This window comes from Homo sapiens, chromosome 7, assembly GCF_000001405.40.
Source record: "Homo sapiens chromosome 7, GRCh38.p14 Primary Assembly".
NCBI classification, from domain to species: domain Eukaryota; kingdom Metazoa; phylum Chordata; class Mammalia; order Primates; family Hominidae; genus Homo; species Homo sapiens.
Window position 1 is genome coordinate 47027676 of NC_000007.14, and position 19309 is coordinate 47046984.

At 42.4% G+C, this 19309-nt stretch overlaps 1 long non-coding RNA gene across 1 annotated transcript in view, besides 1 other annotated feature; it reads right to left on the reverse strand.

Moving 5' to 3' along the window:
* LOC105375268 (uncharacterized) overlaps positions 1–19309 on the reverse strand; it is a 79190-nt gene that overhangs the window by 27056 nt on the left and 32825 nt on the right. The gene's annotated exons all lie outside the window — the stretch shown is intronic.
* Positions 11421–12203: an enhancer, noted in NCBI's record as "NANOG hESC enhancer chr7:47078694-47079476 (GRCh37/hg19 assembly coordinates)". NCBI's record gives its function as "activates a minimal SCP1, AML or CMV promoter by ChIP-STARR-seq in primed H9 embryonic stem cells {active_cell/tissue: H9 hESC(primed)}" and the evidence as "EXISTENCE:reporter gene assay evidence [ECO:0000049][PMID:30033119]".

The following is a 19309-nucleotide window of genomic DNA, read 5'->3' on the forward strand; positions in this document are numbered from 1 at the left end:
CAATGCATAAGGGATGCCACCCAAATAGCTGCACTTTTCTGAAAATCATCACTTCTGTTCTGCAAAGAGCTACACATTCCTCTCCCTTTTTCCCTACTTTTGAGTTCTTTATTTTCCAATATGCATGACGCCAAGGGGCCATGAGGATTTGTGAGCATGCAACACCCCTGGGAGAAGGTAGTCTTTTGTGCCACAATCAGTCGAAGGACCAGACCTGGAACCACTGATTCCCAAGCTGTTGACTGCAGAGTCACCACCAGCTCCTTGAGAATCTGATGGTTGATTCAGCTCCTCTTGGATGGGTTGATGGAAAATGCATTTATATTTGGCAAATGCCAATATAATTGGGCTTTTTAAAATTCCAGAAGATTTTAATTGCAGAAAATTACTTAAGTCCTTTATTGTCTTTTTTTTTTTTTTTGCTCTTAAAGCTGAGCAATGAAGTGAGACCAAACTAGAGTTTAATAAAAACTAATTCCCACTAGAATTTAGAGCACATCTTTAAACCTTAAATCTTCTGTTCATGACACTTTGCCCAGTTAACTGCTAGAGCCTGCAGGCTGTTTTTAATTTACAGTTTTTACTCCCATCAGAAGATGGAAGGAAAAATAACCGAAAATAATGTCTGCAGAATAGTCCCAGTGCCTAGCTGTCCTGCACAACTGCCAGGCTCTGTTCAACTTGTGAGAGAGGAGAAATTTCTCTCTGAAAGAAGGGCATTAGGATCCCCAAGGGCTTCTGTGCAAAAAAGGAGAACTGCCTGGTTAGGCCCCTCCTATATGCCCAGGATGCATAAACATGATCTCCCTCAGACCTCAGGGCAGCATCTTGATACATGAGCAAGCATCCCTGTGCTGCTGAGAAGACATTTAGAGAGGTGCGGCCATCACACACTAATAAAGTGCAAATCCAATGCATTGTGCAATTCAAATTGGATCTGCCTCTTTCCCGAATCAATTATTTTGCCTTGAGGGGTTGCCAGATAAAATACTGAATGCTGAGTTCTGTTTAAGTTTCAGGTAACCAAGAGTCATGTTTCCATGTAAGTATGTCCTAGATATTGCATGGAACTTAGATATACTGAAAAATTATTGATTTTTTTAATCTGAAATTTTGATTGAAGTGGGCTTTCTATAATTTTATTGTTAAATCTGGAACACTAGGCGATTTCTCTTCATAAGAACCAAATGTTGACTATCTGTTCTTTTATTGGTGTAGATCCCAATTCAATTTTCATTAAAATTAATGTATATTTGCAAAAAATTAGCCAGGAGTGGTGGTGGGCACCTGTGGTCCCAGCTGCTCGGGAGGCTGAAGCAGAAGAATGGTGTGAACCGGGGAGGCGGAGCTTGCATGAGCCGAGATGGCGCCACTGCACTCCAGCCCGGGTGACAGAGTGAGACTCTGTCTCAAAAAAAAAAAAAATTAATGTATATTCGGCAGGATGTTTGGGACATTGATGCCTAGCCTTTTATTTCAGGCCTATGAGAAGAAAGGGGAAAAGGATGGAAGAGGATAAAGAAGGAGGGAGAGCAGGAGGGAAGAGTGGGAATGAAGGAAGAAGGAAAGAAAAACTTAAAGTAGAAGAAAAAGGAAGAAATCAATATTTTTCTGAACATTTTCTATTTTTATTTTTTATTTTTTTTTTATTTTTTATTTTTTATTTTTGGAGATGGAGTTTCACTCTTGTTGCCCAGGTTGGAGTGCAATGGCACGATCTTAGCTCACTGCAACCTCCCCTCCTGGGTTCAAGCAGTTCTCCTACCTTGGCCTCCCGAGTAGCTGAGATTACAGGCACCTGCCACCATGCCTAGCTAATTTTGACATTTTTAGTAGAGACAGGGTTTCACCATGTTGGCCAGGCTGGTCTCAAACTCCTGACCTCAGGTGATCCACCTGCCTCAACCTCCCAAAGTCCTGGGATTGCAGGGCATGAGCCATGGCACCTGGCCCATTTTCTATTTTTAAAAAAGAGCACCCCTGCTATATCAGAATCACAGGCAATTATAAAGTAATTTAACTTAAAACTGAAATGAATAATAATTCCCTACAGGGGACATCTCTTTAGGAAGACAACTTGTAAAATATTACATTATTACACTTCAATTTGCATATGCGTACATTTCATTAACTAAATTATAACTATTAATGTCAGGTTTATCAACCAATTATCAGCCAATTATTATCACCAAGGAGATCTAGAATAATTAGATGACAGTTAACCAACTAAATCATATGCAAATAAATTCAGTTTTTATCCACTGAAAATCAGATCCTGCAAGACTCAAAACATCTGGATATCTGTAAGCATCTAAAACTTTGGCATTTTTATAGGCAAAATAATTCACTGGTTTATTTTTATTTGTAATATTTACTCAGAGGTTTTATCTCTATACACACACAGTCACATTTCTCATTAATTTAAAAAAGTCATCTGACCTCTTCAGACCCTGGCTGTTGCCCACACTTGGGCCACAGGACCCTGACAGATCTTCTCACTCTGAGGTTGAATGACTCTCAGAATCAGCCATTAAATGGGTAACTGCAAGTAAGAGATTTAAACATTGCCTTTCTCTGTTGAAAGGTAGGCACAGAATACAAATATACACTTCCTTCTTTCTTATTTAGGCTTCCAGGAATATAATACACGGTATTTTATACCCCACATATGTGACGACTAATCCCAAGTAAGCACAAGGTGAGAGAGTTTTAACTGACATGGGGCTAGGAGACAGTAAGATCACACTACAGTCTTCTCTGGTTACTTAAAGCTTCTTGCATTTATTTGAAAATACTAAGATATATTCCAATGGGAACAGGGACTTGGGAAAATAAAATTGCACATCAGGGCTGACTTCACAAAGAATTAACGATAAAATCTCTTCCTTGTCATCTTTTAATTCTTGATCTGTGTGCCTCTGTGCTTAAGAGGAATGGCTGTATGACAGGGGTGGATAGCATTCCTACATCCCAGGGACATTTGCTGGCTCTGGGGCCCTCACGTCTGGAAAGACATAGTTCCTACCTTCAATCAGTAGGGTACACATGAGCATACCCAAGCACTGCACAACACAGCTGGTTTTATAATAGCCATCATGGAGAGGCAGAAGACAGAGAGGGAAAATCCTTCCAAGGACCTGGTTAGGATCCTCAGAGGAGGAGGTAAAAGAGCTTGGGAACATCAGAGATGGTGGCAAAGCAAAACTGGCGCGAGGGTAGTGTTGCTTCAGGGACCATGCACCATGGGGCTCTGCTGCTGTGTCTAGGGCGAGCGTGTTTGAAAATGCAGTGTATTGATAGAAAATGTGATGCATGGTGAAGCCAACAGATCAGGAAATGATTGCCTTTGAAAAGACAGCTTGAGAGGAGTGGGGATCCTCAGACCACGGGGAGCCACACAAGGCAGTACCAGGGTCGCCAGGAGGCAGAGGGAGAATAGGAAATGTGGGCAAGAGCCTTTACCATCGCTTCTGCAGAAATGCATGGGAGAGGCCAGGTAGGCAGGTTCAGGATCGGCTGGTCCGAATAATTTCCGGGCTCTGGGGCAGAAGGGCTGTCTCTAATTGTCTGATATCTGGCCCTGAGGGTGATAGCCCCATAAGTGGAGGGGCTTGGAGCTGTGGGATGCAGAGACACACACAGAGGGAAGACTATGAGAAAAGACACAGGGAGAAGATGGCCATCCACAAGCCAAGGAGAGAGGCCTCAGAAGACGCCAACCCTGACAACACCTTGCTCTCAGACTCTGGGCCTCCAGGACAGTGAAGTAATCAGTTCCTATGGCTTATGCCACCCAGTTTGTGGTTCCTTGTCACAGCAGCCCTAGCAAACGGACACAGACACATATCCAACATATGAGGCACTGTTTTACATCCACTACTCACTTATACTGTATCTCACCCAAAGCTGTGAAGTGTGGTCGGTGGGCACAGCATAGTAGGAGACAAATTTGTCCTATGAGAAAAAAATGTTTCTAAATGTATAGTGAGCAAACAGGTTAGATTTCATAGCCTTCAATTAAAGCATTATGATGTTAATCAAGCATGACATTGTTTATATAGCCACACAAAATAAAAATTCAAGTGATTTTTCATCTATTGACAAGTATTCATCTAAATATTTGAGACTGCATAAATAGGTTTTACCTAAGTAGAATATTCCATATTCTGTTATCATCTTAGGCTTACTTATTATTGAGAAAGGAGTATACAGGGGATAAAGAGCTGGGGGAGTAAACCAGTTAAGTTCCTCATTACTTCATAAAACGTACAGATGTGAAAACTGATGTACATCCAAGAGACCCGACCCTTGCTTTACCCTCGGGAACCCACCAGTGGTACAATATCAGGATTACAAGTTTGTATTTTTGCACTATTATGAAGCTATTCTTTAACACACGCCCTTCTTATGAAAAAGCAAAATAAAAATCTGAAGGTGTACCAGTATAATTCCTCTACTTACTGACTTTTACTCTAATATTTTTCATTTGGAGTGAGAAGAATAACTTTTATAAGATGTTCTATGGCAAAAGTTCTTCCCTGGAATCTTTTCAGAATGAAGCATTGAGAAAGAATCCGCCGGGGGACCTCCTCTTTCAGCTTTGGAGCCCCCCTCCCTCTGTCTCTGTAAGGGGGAGCTTCTTCCTTCTGTCTTCTCCCTTCACTTCTTGCCTATTAAACTCTCCACTCCTTAAAACCAAAAAAAAAACAAAAACAAAAAAAAGAGAATCTGCCAAACAAACAGCTGTAAGGTTTACACAGTAGAGCAATATGGATATTTTTGGAAGGAAACACATGGGAACCATCTCTGAAGCACTTCTGGAGAGTGATTCACATTAAAACAATAAAATATTAACCATAAAAACTTAAGAAGGTACAAATCATGGGGATAAAAAATCTCTTTAGTTCGGCCACACACTTTAAGAGAGGGTGTTAGGTAGATTATGAGGCACTGGATTCCCATTCCATAAAATCTAGGACACAGTTTGGGACAAAAAAGAGTGTATTTGACTGATGGAGGTTAGAGGGTTGGCTTGCAAGCAAGCAGATCCTAACGCTCAGAGCACAGCAGCCGTCACGTGTGCTTTATCCAGATCCATCAGTTCTACAGAAAGAGGTTGGTGATGGAGACCAAAACCAAAAATCTTACAAAGCCAAGCTACAACAAAGATCATGAAAATAATGATGAGAGCTACCACTAGGCATCAGTCACAACTCCCCTCTCCCCTAACAAAGCATAGCTGGCTTTTGAAAAGTAACTTTGATCTGTATCTTATTCCAACTAAGATTTTTTTTTTTCTTTTTGAAACAGAGTCTTGCTCTGTCGCCCAGGCTAGAAAGCAGTGGCAGGATCATAGCTCACTGCAGCCTGAAACTCCTGGCCTCAAGCAATCTTACCACTCCAGCCTCTGAAGTAGCTGAGATTATAGGCATATGCTGCCACCACACTTAGCTAATTTTTTTTTTTTTTTTTTTGAGACAGAGTTTCACTTTTGTTGCCCAGGCTGGAGTGCAATGGCTCGATCTTGGCTCACTGCAACCTCCACCTCCTCTGTTCAAGCGATTCTCCTGCCTCAGCCTCCTGAGTAGTTGGGATTACAAGCATGGACCACCATGCCCGGTTAATTTTTTTGTATTTTTAGTAGAGATGGGATTTCTCCATGTTGGTCAGGCTGGTCTCAAACTCCCGACCTCAGGTGATCCGCCCGCCTCGGCCTCCCAAAGTGATGGGATTACAGGCGTGAGCCATCGTGCCTGGTCAATTTTTATTTTTATTTTTTGTACGGTCAGGGTTTTGCTGTGTTGCTCAGGCTGGTCTCGAACTCCTGACTTCAAGAGCTCCTCTTGCGTTGGCTTCCCAAAGCACTGGGATTACAGACGTGAGCCATCACACCCAACCAGATGTTTTCTAAAGATCACAAATTGTTGTATTTGCTCATCTGCTGGGAAGATTGGGCTCAAACTATGGCATGATAATGGTTAACAATATAACTCCCCTATGTAACAATTCCCTTACGACTTCCTCTTGACCTTGGGCAAGGCTCAAAGCCCTTAGCCTAGCTGTTAAGGCACTTTGAAACCTGACCTTGAAGGCCCAGGGTACAGGAGAGAGAAGGAACTTGAAGAGGACACACTTGGGCTGAAGTGTACATTTTGAATCATAGAATTTGTGTTCTAAATCCCGGAAATCAGAACCAGAAATCTTAGGCAGTATCTCAGCTGGATCAATAAAAGAATAGATGAATGAGCATATTACTTCGAGCTATGGAGTTGCTGAAAAACTAAACCAGATTGTTAAGAGAATAAAACTTGCTTCCCTCTGCAGAGTGAAACTGTAAGTGGAAAGAATGAGGCAGAAATTTTGCTTTTTATTACTAGCTCTTCATTACTATCTTTAAAATCATAAATATGTATTACCTTGACAAATTTCTAAAATACGGCACAAAAAGCAAACCGAAAACAGGTTTTTGAGCATTTTATGATATGTGAGACTCTCAAGTCTTTGTGCCATGTACAACCTTAAATGATTATAAAAGAACCTCAAAAAGCAGCGCAGTGGCAGATGCCACTTCTCAGATTAGGACACTCAACAACTGGCATAAAGTCCCAGAGTTCAGCAACTGTCCAAGCCCAAAGCTGAGGCAGCTGCACTAGGCCACACTGAATCCTCATATGTGGCCTTTTCCTGGGGCTCTCACACTCATCCTGCCTCCATCACACCCAGCCCCAGACATTCACTGCCACAAGGATGAATCACTCACTACTGTGTCCTGGGCTGGTAGGACATGGACACTGGGAAACAGGGATGGAAGGAATGCCACCCCCATGTCAGGGGGCCTTAGTTCTCCCTGCACGCCTGGTTCCAGGGCACTCCCAACCCAGACTCCACCCTGACTTTAGGTGATGTTGCTGTGAATAACTCCATAGCGGGTTTGAACCATTTTCAGATGACTTCCAGCAAGTGTGGCTCCTATAAGATAAAGCTCACACTTCCACATGAGTACCATCTGCAGCCCCCAAACACGTATACCCTCATGTGGGAGCAACTCAGGAAAGTGCTGGAGGGATGCAGCAAATCAGCATTTATTTATTTAATTTTAATTTTTGAGTTAGAGTTTTGCTCTGTCACCCAGGCTGGAGTGTAGTGGCACAATCTCGGCTCACTGCAACCTCTGCCTCCTGGGTTCAAGCGATTCTCCTGCCTCAGACTCCTGAGTAGCTGGGATTACAGGTGCCCGCCACCACACCCAGCTAATTTCGGTATTTTTAGTAGAGATGGGTTTTCACCATGTTGGCCAGGCTGGTCTCAAACTCCTGACCTCAGGTGATCTGCCCACCTCTGCCTCCCAAAGTGCTGGGATTACAGTCGTGAGCCACCAGGTCCAGCCATTTATTAAATAACCTCTATGTGCCAGGCACTGAACCCAATTTTCACCTGCATTAATTCATTTCATCTCACAACAACTTTATTCACTAGATTCTTATTACTATTCATAGTTTTACTGGTAAGAAAAGAGAGCCTCAGAGAAACTAAGGAAAATGGCCAGAGTCCCAGAGCCACTTCGTTGGAGGATTGGACTTTAATTCTAGATTATTCTAATCTCAAGTTTATTCTACCACGTCAGATGACATCTAAAAAGAGACACTTTGGAAAGATAGGCTCTTCTATACGGCTCTGGAGAACTGACTGTTCTTTTTTCATTTGAAAACTTGTCTTCCCAAGAGTCGGAGGTTCCCCGTGAATACAGAGAATTCCCTTAGATGTGTGACCCTTGGTGATCTCTAGCTAAGCACCAATGCACGGGAAAGTGAACTGCCCGAACTCTGATGCCTTGTGTTGGGTTTATGCAACAGAATGCTTTTGTTCTGTAATCTGCACTCCCAGGAGAAAAAAAAGACCGAACAAAATCCTGTCTTCTTTAACCTGCAAAAGCCATGACTTGCAGCAGTATTCCATCTACAATATGAGACCTTGAAATGCAGGCTTTAGAAAAATGTGTTTTCCATTCTTCTTCATAGCCAAGTCATTACAACATGTCCATTCTCTAAATGAGATGAAACAGGAAACTTCCTGTTGGAAAATTTTCTGCATCCTTGACCCTGCCCCTGGATTTCAGAGTTTACAGAAGGCTAAAGCTGGCGGAAGCCATGAAGATGTCCCATTGCCCCTCTCACTTCTCACTGGCCTTCATCATTTATGTCTTCATTTGACAGTTTGTGTTGTCTCTGCATTTGTTCATATCCCAGGATATACCGCTACACACCTCCAGGTATGTCATCCTAGGAAACAAACGGGCTCAAGCCATTTCCAAACCTTCAACACCCCAAGGCAATTAAAACAAGACAAAACGAAGTCCCTGGTAACTTCTGCATGGTACAGGGCCGGTTGTTTCCAGCATGGTTCACAAGCCCTTAACATATGACCACAGTATTGCTACCTTACACACCTCCGCTTTCCCCCTGGCCTCAAAATTTTTGGTTCTAACTTCTTGCCCTTCACCAAGTACTGTGTCATTTTTCACGTGCCTAAGTCCTTACATGCGCTCTTTTCTCTGCCTAGATTGTCCTTCCCCTTATATTGTGCTCAAGAAATAACAAAATGCATGAATGAGTCAGAGCACAGGGTATCTAAGAGCTTCCCCAATAGTTGGCTCCAGGCTTCCTACGTGTGCCCATTGGAGGCCAACCATACATCATTCTGCAGAACTCACACACTGTGTGCTACTTCCCCTGACTTGCTGTGTCATCCATCCCTGCTGGACCCTGAAGTACAGAAGGGCCACCAATCTTTAATCAAACACATATATTGAAATGTGCTCCTGTTTATTAATGGGAGAGCTTTGATTCTGATGATGGGCTCTGACTTGTATCAGCTGGACGAGCTTAGGCTAGTTGCCTAACAATATCTGCCTTCATGTTCTCCTCTATGAACCAGGAACAATAACACACCTGGCAAAGGGCTGTAGTGAGGATTGATATTTGTAAATACTTAGCACTGTCTGTCATAAAGAAACTCTTCCATGAGTGAGTGATCAAAGGGTATGGCCCTGGGGTTAGAGCACAATTGAACTAACTGGAGGCCCTACTGCTTAGTGACTGGATAAACTTGTCAAAGTAAACCATTTAAGCCTCAGTTTCCCCACCTATTAAATAGGAGTGAGGTGGTTGCATTTTCCTTGGGATTATGCATATTAGACACATAGCACTTACAAGGTACTTTGAGTGGAAGCTAACATGCAACAATAATAGCAGCTGCAGCATGCACCATGCTTATCAGCATAGGAGCTGCTCCATGCAGTCTCACTTCAGTCTGTGCTCAGGAATGCTTACTCTTAGTAGCACCAATTCTGCTGTCATCACCGTCATTGTCATCATTATTCCTTTCCTAATCATCGTCACTGTCATCAGCAGCAGCATCATTATCACCATTGCCATCATCATCTTCATCATCATCGTTGTCATCGTCAACATCAACATCCTCATCATCACACATTCACCCTGACTCCTCAGTCTTCTCATCTTCGTTCCTCACCTCATTACTACACTTTGGTAATGTGTGGTAGGCCCCAGAGAATCCAGCCTTGGCCCCTCCAGCCGTGATAAGCACAGTTTGAAGGATCCTGGCCACTCTGCACCACAATTTATGACACCATTCCTTCGAATCAGGATAGGTGGTTGGGCTCGTCACATCTAGCTCACTCTCCTCTAATTCTCCCACAAAATACTAGTCTTATGAGATGCTTTAAAAATTAAAAAATAATACCCTTTGGACATAGTATGAACTATATATTATATCTTTTCCTTGAGATATGTTAATTCCTTTTAGCATATTAAAGGACTGGAGAAATCCCACAGTAAAGAAATATATTTAACTAGTTAATCTATTTAACTGAAATAAAACAAATAACCTTTATCATCAATGATTTCCTAAACCGACTATGAACCTTTCCCCGTGTTTGTGTACATGTGTGTAAAATGCAACAAGAAGGGCTGTGTGCATGCTCTCCCCTTTCTATGTAGACATATGTGTGTGTGTGCATATGTGTGGGGTGCTTCATGCCTTTTTTCTCAGTGTGTGCATGCATGTAATTATGTACTAAGACATACCGAGTGTGTGCCACGTGCTTTCTTTCTGTACATGTGCATGCACATATATACATGTGCTAAGCCATGGGAAGGAGGTATTACACGCCTTTTTCGTTCTGTGCAGTCATGTGGGTGTGTGTAAGTGCATGTGTGCTATACTCCATGCCGTTTGCTTTATAACATTTCTTCCACCCTCACCTCTTTGCCTTCTGTGCTTAGAGTTTCTTTCTTGTTTCAAATGGTTGAATATCAATGTTTCTGTTCTTTCTGACTCTTTCCATCTTTTTCTTCTATTCTATTAGCAAAAGAAAAGTTACCACAAGGGATGGGAACAAGAAAGATAACATTGTGTGCCAAATTGTTTTCCTGCTCTGTTTTTACTCTGTGGGCTCATCTGGATGTCAGTTTTGTTGTTGAACTCATAGGGTTAATTACCTTCCCCTGTCCCTCTTATCTCTTTAAAATCTCCTGAAATCTTTCCATTCTTGGAAAATGCACACACACACATACACGCACTCACTCTTACTCACATACATGTCCTTAGATGTCATGTCCATGGGCCCCAGGTTAAGTGAGATGCTTCACAAGTACAGCGGCTGCCACATTGGTCCCTGAATCCTCAATGCCAGCACAGGGCCAGGCAGACAGTAGGTGAATGTGGAATGAATATGTGAATTAATCAGGAGGGCCAGTGGGGGTCCATTTATCTTTAAGATCATGTGTTGTGTTACTTGGTCAGCAACATGTTTAGGTGGAAAAAGTTAATCTGCTTCAGGTTTCTTGAAACATCCAGGAATACTTTCCCTCAGTCTCTTTTAAAAATGTTTGTTATTATTCACATAAATTCATCCTGCTTCTTTTAATAATTCAGGCTTCTACCACCTAAGGTCAGTATGTACAGTTGCATAGGCTGTGCACTGTTTTTGTTCAGGGTGTCTGGCCAAAGAGAGGAGAGAGAGCTAAAATTCAAGCTTCTTTGCTGGGGCAGGGTAGGTCTGCCTTGAGGAGGAAGCACCTGCCTGCAGTGCTGTGCTTCCCCAGGGGGATGCTTGCTGTAATCTGCACAAAGAAGCAGGGTGGATTCGCCGTGAGCCGCCTACAGGTTACGTAAATCCCTGGGCTACCGTTCTCCAAACTCTAGGTCAAGTTGAGGAAGATGGACACATGCCACCTTTTCATTATGACTTGCTGCGTAGATCAGAATGGGAAAATATTCTGGAAAGAACATCAGCAACAGACACTAGATTTAAGTAGACTATTTCAATCTCCTTTGGTGCTTTCCTACCTGAGCACAGAGTGGGTGAGATGTGGATTTGTGTTGAGGACAGAGAGCCTGAGAGCAATGAAAAGGAAATCAGGAACAGAGGCTGAGCCAGCCACGGGTGGCCCCAGGGGACATCATCATGAACATGAAGCTTTCTGGAAGGCTAGAAGTCGCACTCAGTGGGTGTTTGGGTCTTTATTGCACATCTGTAGTTCCAACCCTTTTCCCTCCCAGGAACTCATGGTGTCCTGTAGTTCTTGTTTACTTTTTCCAAGTGAGAAATCATTCTGCCTTTCTGCCTGCTAACTCCTTTCCTGATGTGAAAGCTCTTTCCCCAATATCAGATTCTCGCTGGCCTTTGTCTTAAAGCAGCCACCATGGAGAACAGGTAGGAACTCGGCTCCCATTCACATGGCCCCTAGCCTCAAAGAAGTAAATTATATCTGTGGGAATCCCTGCTCAGGAGCCCTGCTGACCACACATCTCGCATCTCAGGGCTCTGTTGTGGAAAGGTCCCTCGCAGGCATGACCCACCAAGAATGTTGCCTTTGTTAATTACACCAGTTAACATTGTTAAATGTTTACCATGCCCCAGGCATTGAAATGGGCATTTTACCTTCATTCTTTCATTTGTCACCACAACCCTCTCAGAAGTTACTTAGCATCAGTCTACCTCAGCTTTCTCTTTTATAAAAGAAGAAAACAACACCTGTATTGTGTGGCAAGATTGCTATGATAATAAGAACACCACATTAAAAATACCCAGCAGGGCACCTGGGGTGCACCCAGCTCTCAGCGAGCTGTAGGAACTTCTTTGCTATGACTGGGGCCCTCTGTAAAGTCACATAAGAACAAAATGCAGACATCTGGGCTATATTCAAACAACAGCAAAAGATTGTTCAACATTGGAAGAGCTGGGTTTAGGTGATTTTTTGATATTTTCCTCTTGTGGCCAAATCATATTTGCTGGGTTAATTTTCAAAACTTAGAACAAATTGTCATCTAGTAACTTTTAATGATCTCAGCTTGAGTGTGTTTCCTGCTGTTAGTTCACTCGGAATGTTCTGGGCTGTGTATCAAATGCATTCTCATTGTGTGGTTGCCAGAGAGGAAAAATGCCCATTGTCTTGGCTGTGGCTATTTTTATTTAAATTGCAGTCCAACTTTTAGAAAGTCTTAAGGGTCATAAATGTGAAATGGTGGACAAAGTGCTTTTGAAAAAAAATACATTGTTTTTATTTAAAACAAAAAGTAATGCATGCTCATAAGAGCAAATTTAGGAGACACATAGTATAAAAGAAAAAAAATTAGTTCCATATAGGCCTTTTTCTAAACACAACCACTATTAACTTTTTGGTGAGTTTTTTAATGCAGTTATATAGACAGATATATAGATAGACAACCGATATACAAACAGATTAGATATATATATATATGTGCATGGGTATATGCATATAAATGACAATATATCTCTGGGTAGCTAGTTAGTTATAAATTACTTGCTATGTATAACTGGGGATATGCATATACGTGTGTTGTCAGTGTCATCTGTGTATATATGCTCCTTACAGAAGGTAGTTAGGCATGAGAAGGGCAGGAGAGGCCCCCCACCACCACCCACCAGGAATGTCAGGTGATAGGCGGTTGTTAAACTATCTTTCTAAAATCATAATTGGCCGAAGCCAATGCTCTGTGGTTGTTAAAACTGTTTCTCTAAAATAACAATTGGTCGAAGCCAATGCCAGGGAAAGGCAGTCTCCTAATAGATAGAAAACACCTGAAACAGGTGATCAGCAGCTTCCCGATAAGATCTCAGGAGTTGGGCGAGCGTGCTCAAGCATGTGCATTAAGAGGCAGAATGGCAGACTTTAACTGGAATATGACCTTCCTCTGGGAACTCTCGACTGGTGAGGGAAAGACGCCTCAAGTGAGCATGTGCATAACTTCAGTAAACACACTGCACATGCGCCCCCTCCCAAGTGCTGGCAGGCCACTGCACGTGCAGACAGTCCACGCAGGGGAAGAATCAGGGGAGAAGTAATGCAACCCCAGAAGAATTGCTAACATATAAGACCCCAAGTCAAAGGTCAAACCATGCTTTTAAATCTCTCAAGTCATCCACTTGGCCCTCTTCCAAGGGTACTTCCTTCCGTTCCAGCTCTAAAACTTTTTAGTAAACTTTCACTCTTGCTCTAAAACTTGCCTGGGTCTCTAACTCTGCCTTATGCCCCTTAAGTTGAATTCTTTTTTCTGAGGAGGCAAGAATTGAGATTGCTGCAGACTCATACAGATTCGCAACTGCTAACATGCACACACACACAAATATAAATAATATAAATGACTGGATGTTTGGAGATAGAGACGTAGAGCTAGATGTGTTGAATTACCTTATGAACCTATGTTTTTAAACCTAAAGTTCTAGCAAAAGCATTATTTTATATATTATAATGCTTTTCACGATTGTCATTTCAACATCTGCAATAATAAATGCAATACCCAAAATAATAATATTTCATAGTTTGGAAAAATCACAATTCCAATGACACCTTTTTCTACAATTGGAACTTGAAGTATTTCTCTGGCCAATATTTCTTTAAAGTGCAGAAATAACATCTCTTGCACAAAGGTTTTTAAACTATTTCTTCTTTAGTACCTAAGTTGCTGGATGAAAGAACATGGTCACTTTGGGGGATCCTAGATACATCATAATAAACACTGATTAATCATTGATTTCATTGTTTCTAATATTGTTTGACTATTCTCGTCAGTACACTGACACTTCATTTCCTGCATTCTCCCAAATGCAATTCCTATAATTTTCAAATGAGAATGCTTTTGTGTTTACAATATTAATATATATTCAGTAGGGTTTAAATGCATTAAAGTAGAGTCAAGCAGTCGAGAAAGATTTACTGATAATCTATGTCATGCAAGCCACTTTGCACCTTAAGAAAGAATTCAAGGAAGTGTTGCAGACATACCTCTTCCACTCAAGATTACGGTCTTGTGAGAAGTTTGCCACATAGCCATACCCCATGACGGAAGGGCATTCACAGTACTTACCAGCATCACAGTCTCTTCAAGTTTTCAGAGTCAGAGAATATTCCCTGAAAGACCCCAAACCCAAATGGTGGGTTTTCAAAGACTGGAGAATGTGACAAGAAAAATTGCCTACAGAAGTTCATGGAGAGCGACCATGAACTTCATGAGGAGTGACCTCATGAGCTGAGGATTGACAGGAAGGTTTAAACAGCAATGGATGAGGACAGGTGGCCGAGGGATCAGCACACCCAGGAAGGGTGTAGACTCTATCATTTGGGCTGCAGGGAAGGATGGGGAGCAGCATCTTGAGGGGCTTCCTGAGGGTACTGGGAGCCTGAGAACTTCTGTGGGGCTGCGATGTCAGGGGACTGTCAGAGCAGGAGCTACAGAACAGGCTTTAGCTCAAAGAGCACCACTGGTCATAGTCCACAAGTCCCCAGTTAGGAACATGGAGGGAGGAACCAGTGTGGTAAGTGACACATCCAGGACAGGAGGAAAGAGAAGGCTAGAGAGGCAAAGTGTAGAGCACAAGGGAGTTGAGCTTCCCTGGGCCGCAGCATGAGGAGGCATCCAGCATGGGTCCCAACATGGACATGCCAGAACACAGTCCACCGGCAGATGATCTGGTGAGTTTCCTGAAGTGATTTTCCCTCACAGACTTAACTACAGGGTATTTAAGAACTCACAGAAACTCTTGGCCTCCTGCTTCCCTGTTACCAGCTGAGCCCTGAATCACTGGGCTCATGAACCTGCTTGGTCAGAATCACATCTGGGTGATGCAGAACAGCAGTCCCCAACCCGGAAAATTAGACCTTAGCCTCTTTAGTCACTGCATTGCAAGCCATCCTACAGGCCACCCCTGTTTGTCCAGAACGAGCAGGTCCCTGGTGTGGAGGACTTGGAGGACTGACCTGTCCTGAGCACCATTACCAGGATGAGGTGGCTGTATCCCCAGTTTCTCATCTAGGTAAATGGACTATGGGACTTACTATACAGGGTTATGGTGAGCATTAAAGCATAGAAGGTTTGAAGTGGCTCAGAGTGGAGCTAAATGGAAGTCCATTCCTTTCTTTATCTTTCACAGAAATCTGTTGTTATTTTAGTCATAGCAGCAAGGAATAAAAGCATCTTTTTTCCCACCCTGTCTGGGAAGAAAAATTAAATGTGGCTGAAGAAAAGAGGCCAAGAGTGGATAACTAAAATGATTGTCACAGTTACTTCTTTCCTGAGCAATTCTCCTAGTTCTGCTTAGGAAGTTAATTGTATCCCAACCACCTAAAAACCTCTTGCATATTCAAGTTGCAACAAGGTTGCCGTAAGCAACATGTTTTTTGAGACTGTCAAGTGTGTGACCCATTGGCCACTAGGATTCTCAAAGAGCTTGTTGGAGACACCAGAGGGATGGCAGGAGAGGCTGCTGCAATCTACATCTGAGTGCATAGAAGAGTTCAGTAGAGTCACTCCCTAACTGCAACAAGGAAACCAGAGAGCATGCATTATTCGTGGGAGAATATGAATACAGTTGTAGGAGGAGTCACAGCAATGTAAAATATTTGTGAATGATAAAGGAGTCACTTTGAGTTATTCCCAGGACAAAGCAAGTTTTCTTCCTATCCAAATCCTGTCAGATGTGCCCCATCCTCTGGTGTTGGTGCCCGCCTGGACCTAAGGTGCATTACGCTGATGCCACCTGTGCACTTTCTTCTTCACTGGACCTACGGTAGAAAGGCTGTGCTTGTCCACTGATGTGCCCTCCAGGCCACGCACCCTGCACTCTTCCAAAGACGGGTCCCATGAATCTTTGTTGAGAGAAGGAGCAAACAGATAGCCTGGCAATACATCCTGAGTCTCTTTCTCTGCTGCACAGAAAAGTTGGGGAGTCAAGGAGGAAAGGGGAAATGTACTAGGCATTTCATAGACTATATGAGAGAGGAGGTGGGTGTCTGCAAGACACAAGGATGTAGCCTTTAGCAAATCAGAGAAGGAAGAGCTAAAGATATAGACTCTTCTATGAGCAATGATGGAGAAGTTGAGATTATGCTATAGGTAAGAAATTAATCTGTCCAGTGGGAACCACTATACTCCTGCCTGGAATGCTCCATACAAGCAGACCTGGTGAGATACAAAAGAAAAAAATAATAACATAGAGAATCTGCAAAGAAACACCAAAGCAAATATATCTGTTCCTCTTGTAGGTACACATGTATGCACACACACATACTCACGAACATACATGCATACAAACACACATAAAAACATACCCACAAACATGCACAAAAATATACAGAAATTCAAAAACACAGGCATACACGTACACACTCACATATGCACATATCTGTGAACACACACATGTGCATGCATACATACATATACAAATATATGGTTTATCCTACAGTTTGCCTTCTGTTCTTTTCAGCTAATTTTTTTATTGTTGTTTAAGAAAAACAAAGGGTAAACAACAAATACTAATTTAATTTAAAACACTTAGAAGTGTTACGAAGAAAAAGGACCCTAGTTTGGGGCACCAAGTGAAAGGTAGGAAAAGTTCACTGTTTCCCTGAGTGGGAAGACCAGGTGAGCTGCCTCACTCACAGTCAGGCCTGCGGATGTCCTCTTCTATTAAAAGGGTCAAGATAATTGTTGTTACTTAGCAATAAGCCAGGGATGATCATGTTAATGGATTTGCACTTTCAAGTCTTTCACTGTGGTCTGTGGTTTAACTCCTAGGCCAGGACCAGCGGTGGCTGTGACTTAGCAAGGGCCTCTGATGCAGAAGACAGCACCAGCTGGCTCCATTAGACCTTAGACCACCTGCCAGCCATGTTTCTGTGCAGCAAACGTTCAGTTGTTATGTGGAATTAGTTTTGCTTTTTTCACTTGGCTGTTGTGAACATCAAGTAAGATCATCCACAAAATGGTCCAATAAAACATAATGATGCTGAACAATCATTTTGAACAATGTATGCATATTTGATGCATCAACATGCATTGGCCAGGTATGTGTAAAGTGCTGTGTCACTTATTTTTAAATGAATAATCACAAAAAGAAAACTTCTGGAATAAAATATCATGATACAAAATAAATATCTAGAACAAAATATGGGATAGGATAAAGTCTGCTTTATCATCAAATGTCCAATTTCTTGGGAAAATGAGAGACAGAAAGCCTGCAGCCAGGGCAGGATGTCACATGTATAATTAGTGCTCGGCCCAAGTTCCAGAGCCTCTGCCCTTTGACACAGGGGCCAGTGCTCTCTTGAGCGACTCTCCAGCTTTCTGCTTCCCAGAAACAAGCCTGGGAGGCAGAAGCAGATACAGAAGGTCACAGAAGAACATATGAGAAAGTAAACACAGCGAGATTCTCTGCCAGGCCCTGGCAGCCGGACTTGCAGCCTTCTTGGCTCCAAGGGATTAATTCTGAAGGGCAGGGGGAAGGAGGAGAGTAGACTGCATAAAATCACATTATCTCTGTCCCTTTTCCTTCAATTCCTGTGAGGAATAAACCTCAATTATATATTACAAGTAGGGCATCGTATTATCTAAGTGGATGCAATGGTGCAGCATTTACTAGGGCTTCTGTTTATCCATGCACCATGACACAGGGCCCTGACATGCCAGAGCCCTCGAAGTGCTTGCTGATTGTTAGTAGGATAGAAAATGGAATCCAGGCAGACACAGCTTCCGAGCACAGCTCTGACTTCTGCACCCAAGTTTGGATTCTGAATTCCACCTCGTACTTGGTGCCTGAGATTACTTCACCTTCTCAAGCCTGTTTCCTCACTTGCAAAATGAGGATGGTAACCGCAGTGCCCTGGGGATTAAATAAGATAATACAGGAAAACGCCTTAACCCCTGTAGCACTCAGTGTATGAGCTGTCACTCTTGTGACTCCATGCTGTCTGCCTAGGAAAAATGCAGAGCTGGCTGGAAAAAACCGATTATCAGAGAAACCAAATGCAATTTCTAAACACAGGGGCCAGTGCAAGGTTGAGTTTAGGAGTCATAGAAACAGAGGGTTAGGCTGAGGAAGTCATGGACAGAGAGAGAGAATTTTGCATGCATTTGAGAACATGTAAGTTTCTGGGGCTGGAGGAAAATCTTCCCTACCTTTAACCCATTTTCAATCGTACTTGATCATTGAAAGTAATCCCATTACAGAAAATGGTTGTTAAGATGCTTATAATCAATCAGAAAGAAAACTATATACCAAAACTTGGGGTAGATGACACCCTACCCTGCTAACTGGTAAAGTTTCAGCTAATTTGGAGTGAGGAGGAAGAAAGTTGCAATGAAAAAAACAGGGAACCCAAACGCTCTTGCTGATGAAAGAGCCTCAGTCATTGACTGCAGCACATCAAAGAGCACAAGATGGGTTCTGCATCTTTGTCTCCCATTTTGTTTTGTGCTGATTTCTCACAGGGCCTGTGTCTGACAAGTTTTGCACACTTAGCTGACAAAGGGGAAGGCCAGTCAGAGCCAAGAATTTTGGGCAAAAATAGGCATAATAATGAGACGGACACCTCAAGTCCTTCCAGGTATCAAGAAAAGTATCAAATCCATTTTAAAATATATTTTCAGACAGATAAAATATTAAGTCCAGATGTGGAAGCTGCAGTAGAGGGTGCAAGGAGCTGAGGCAGGGCAGGCTGATTACAGGTCAGGAAAACATGATTTCTTGCTTCATTTTTATGCCCTTGTTTAAAAAAAAAAGAAAAAGAAAGCAGGGTCTCAAGTCTTGTGAAATCAGCCATCCTACTCAAGGAATACACAGCTACTGGGTGCTTTTGTCATTTGCAGAATGGTACACATATGCGCTGATAATATTTTATTTTTAAATATCAATAAACTAAATGTTGAATATTCTTACAATAATTCTGTAAGAAAGGTGATTCTCAAGACGTGAAATAAATGAGGAGCT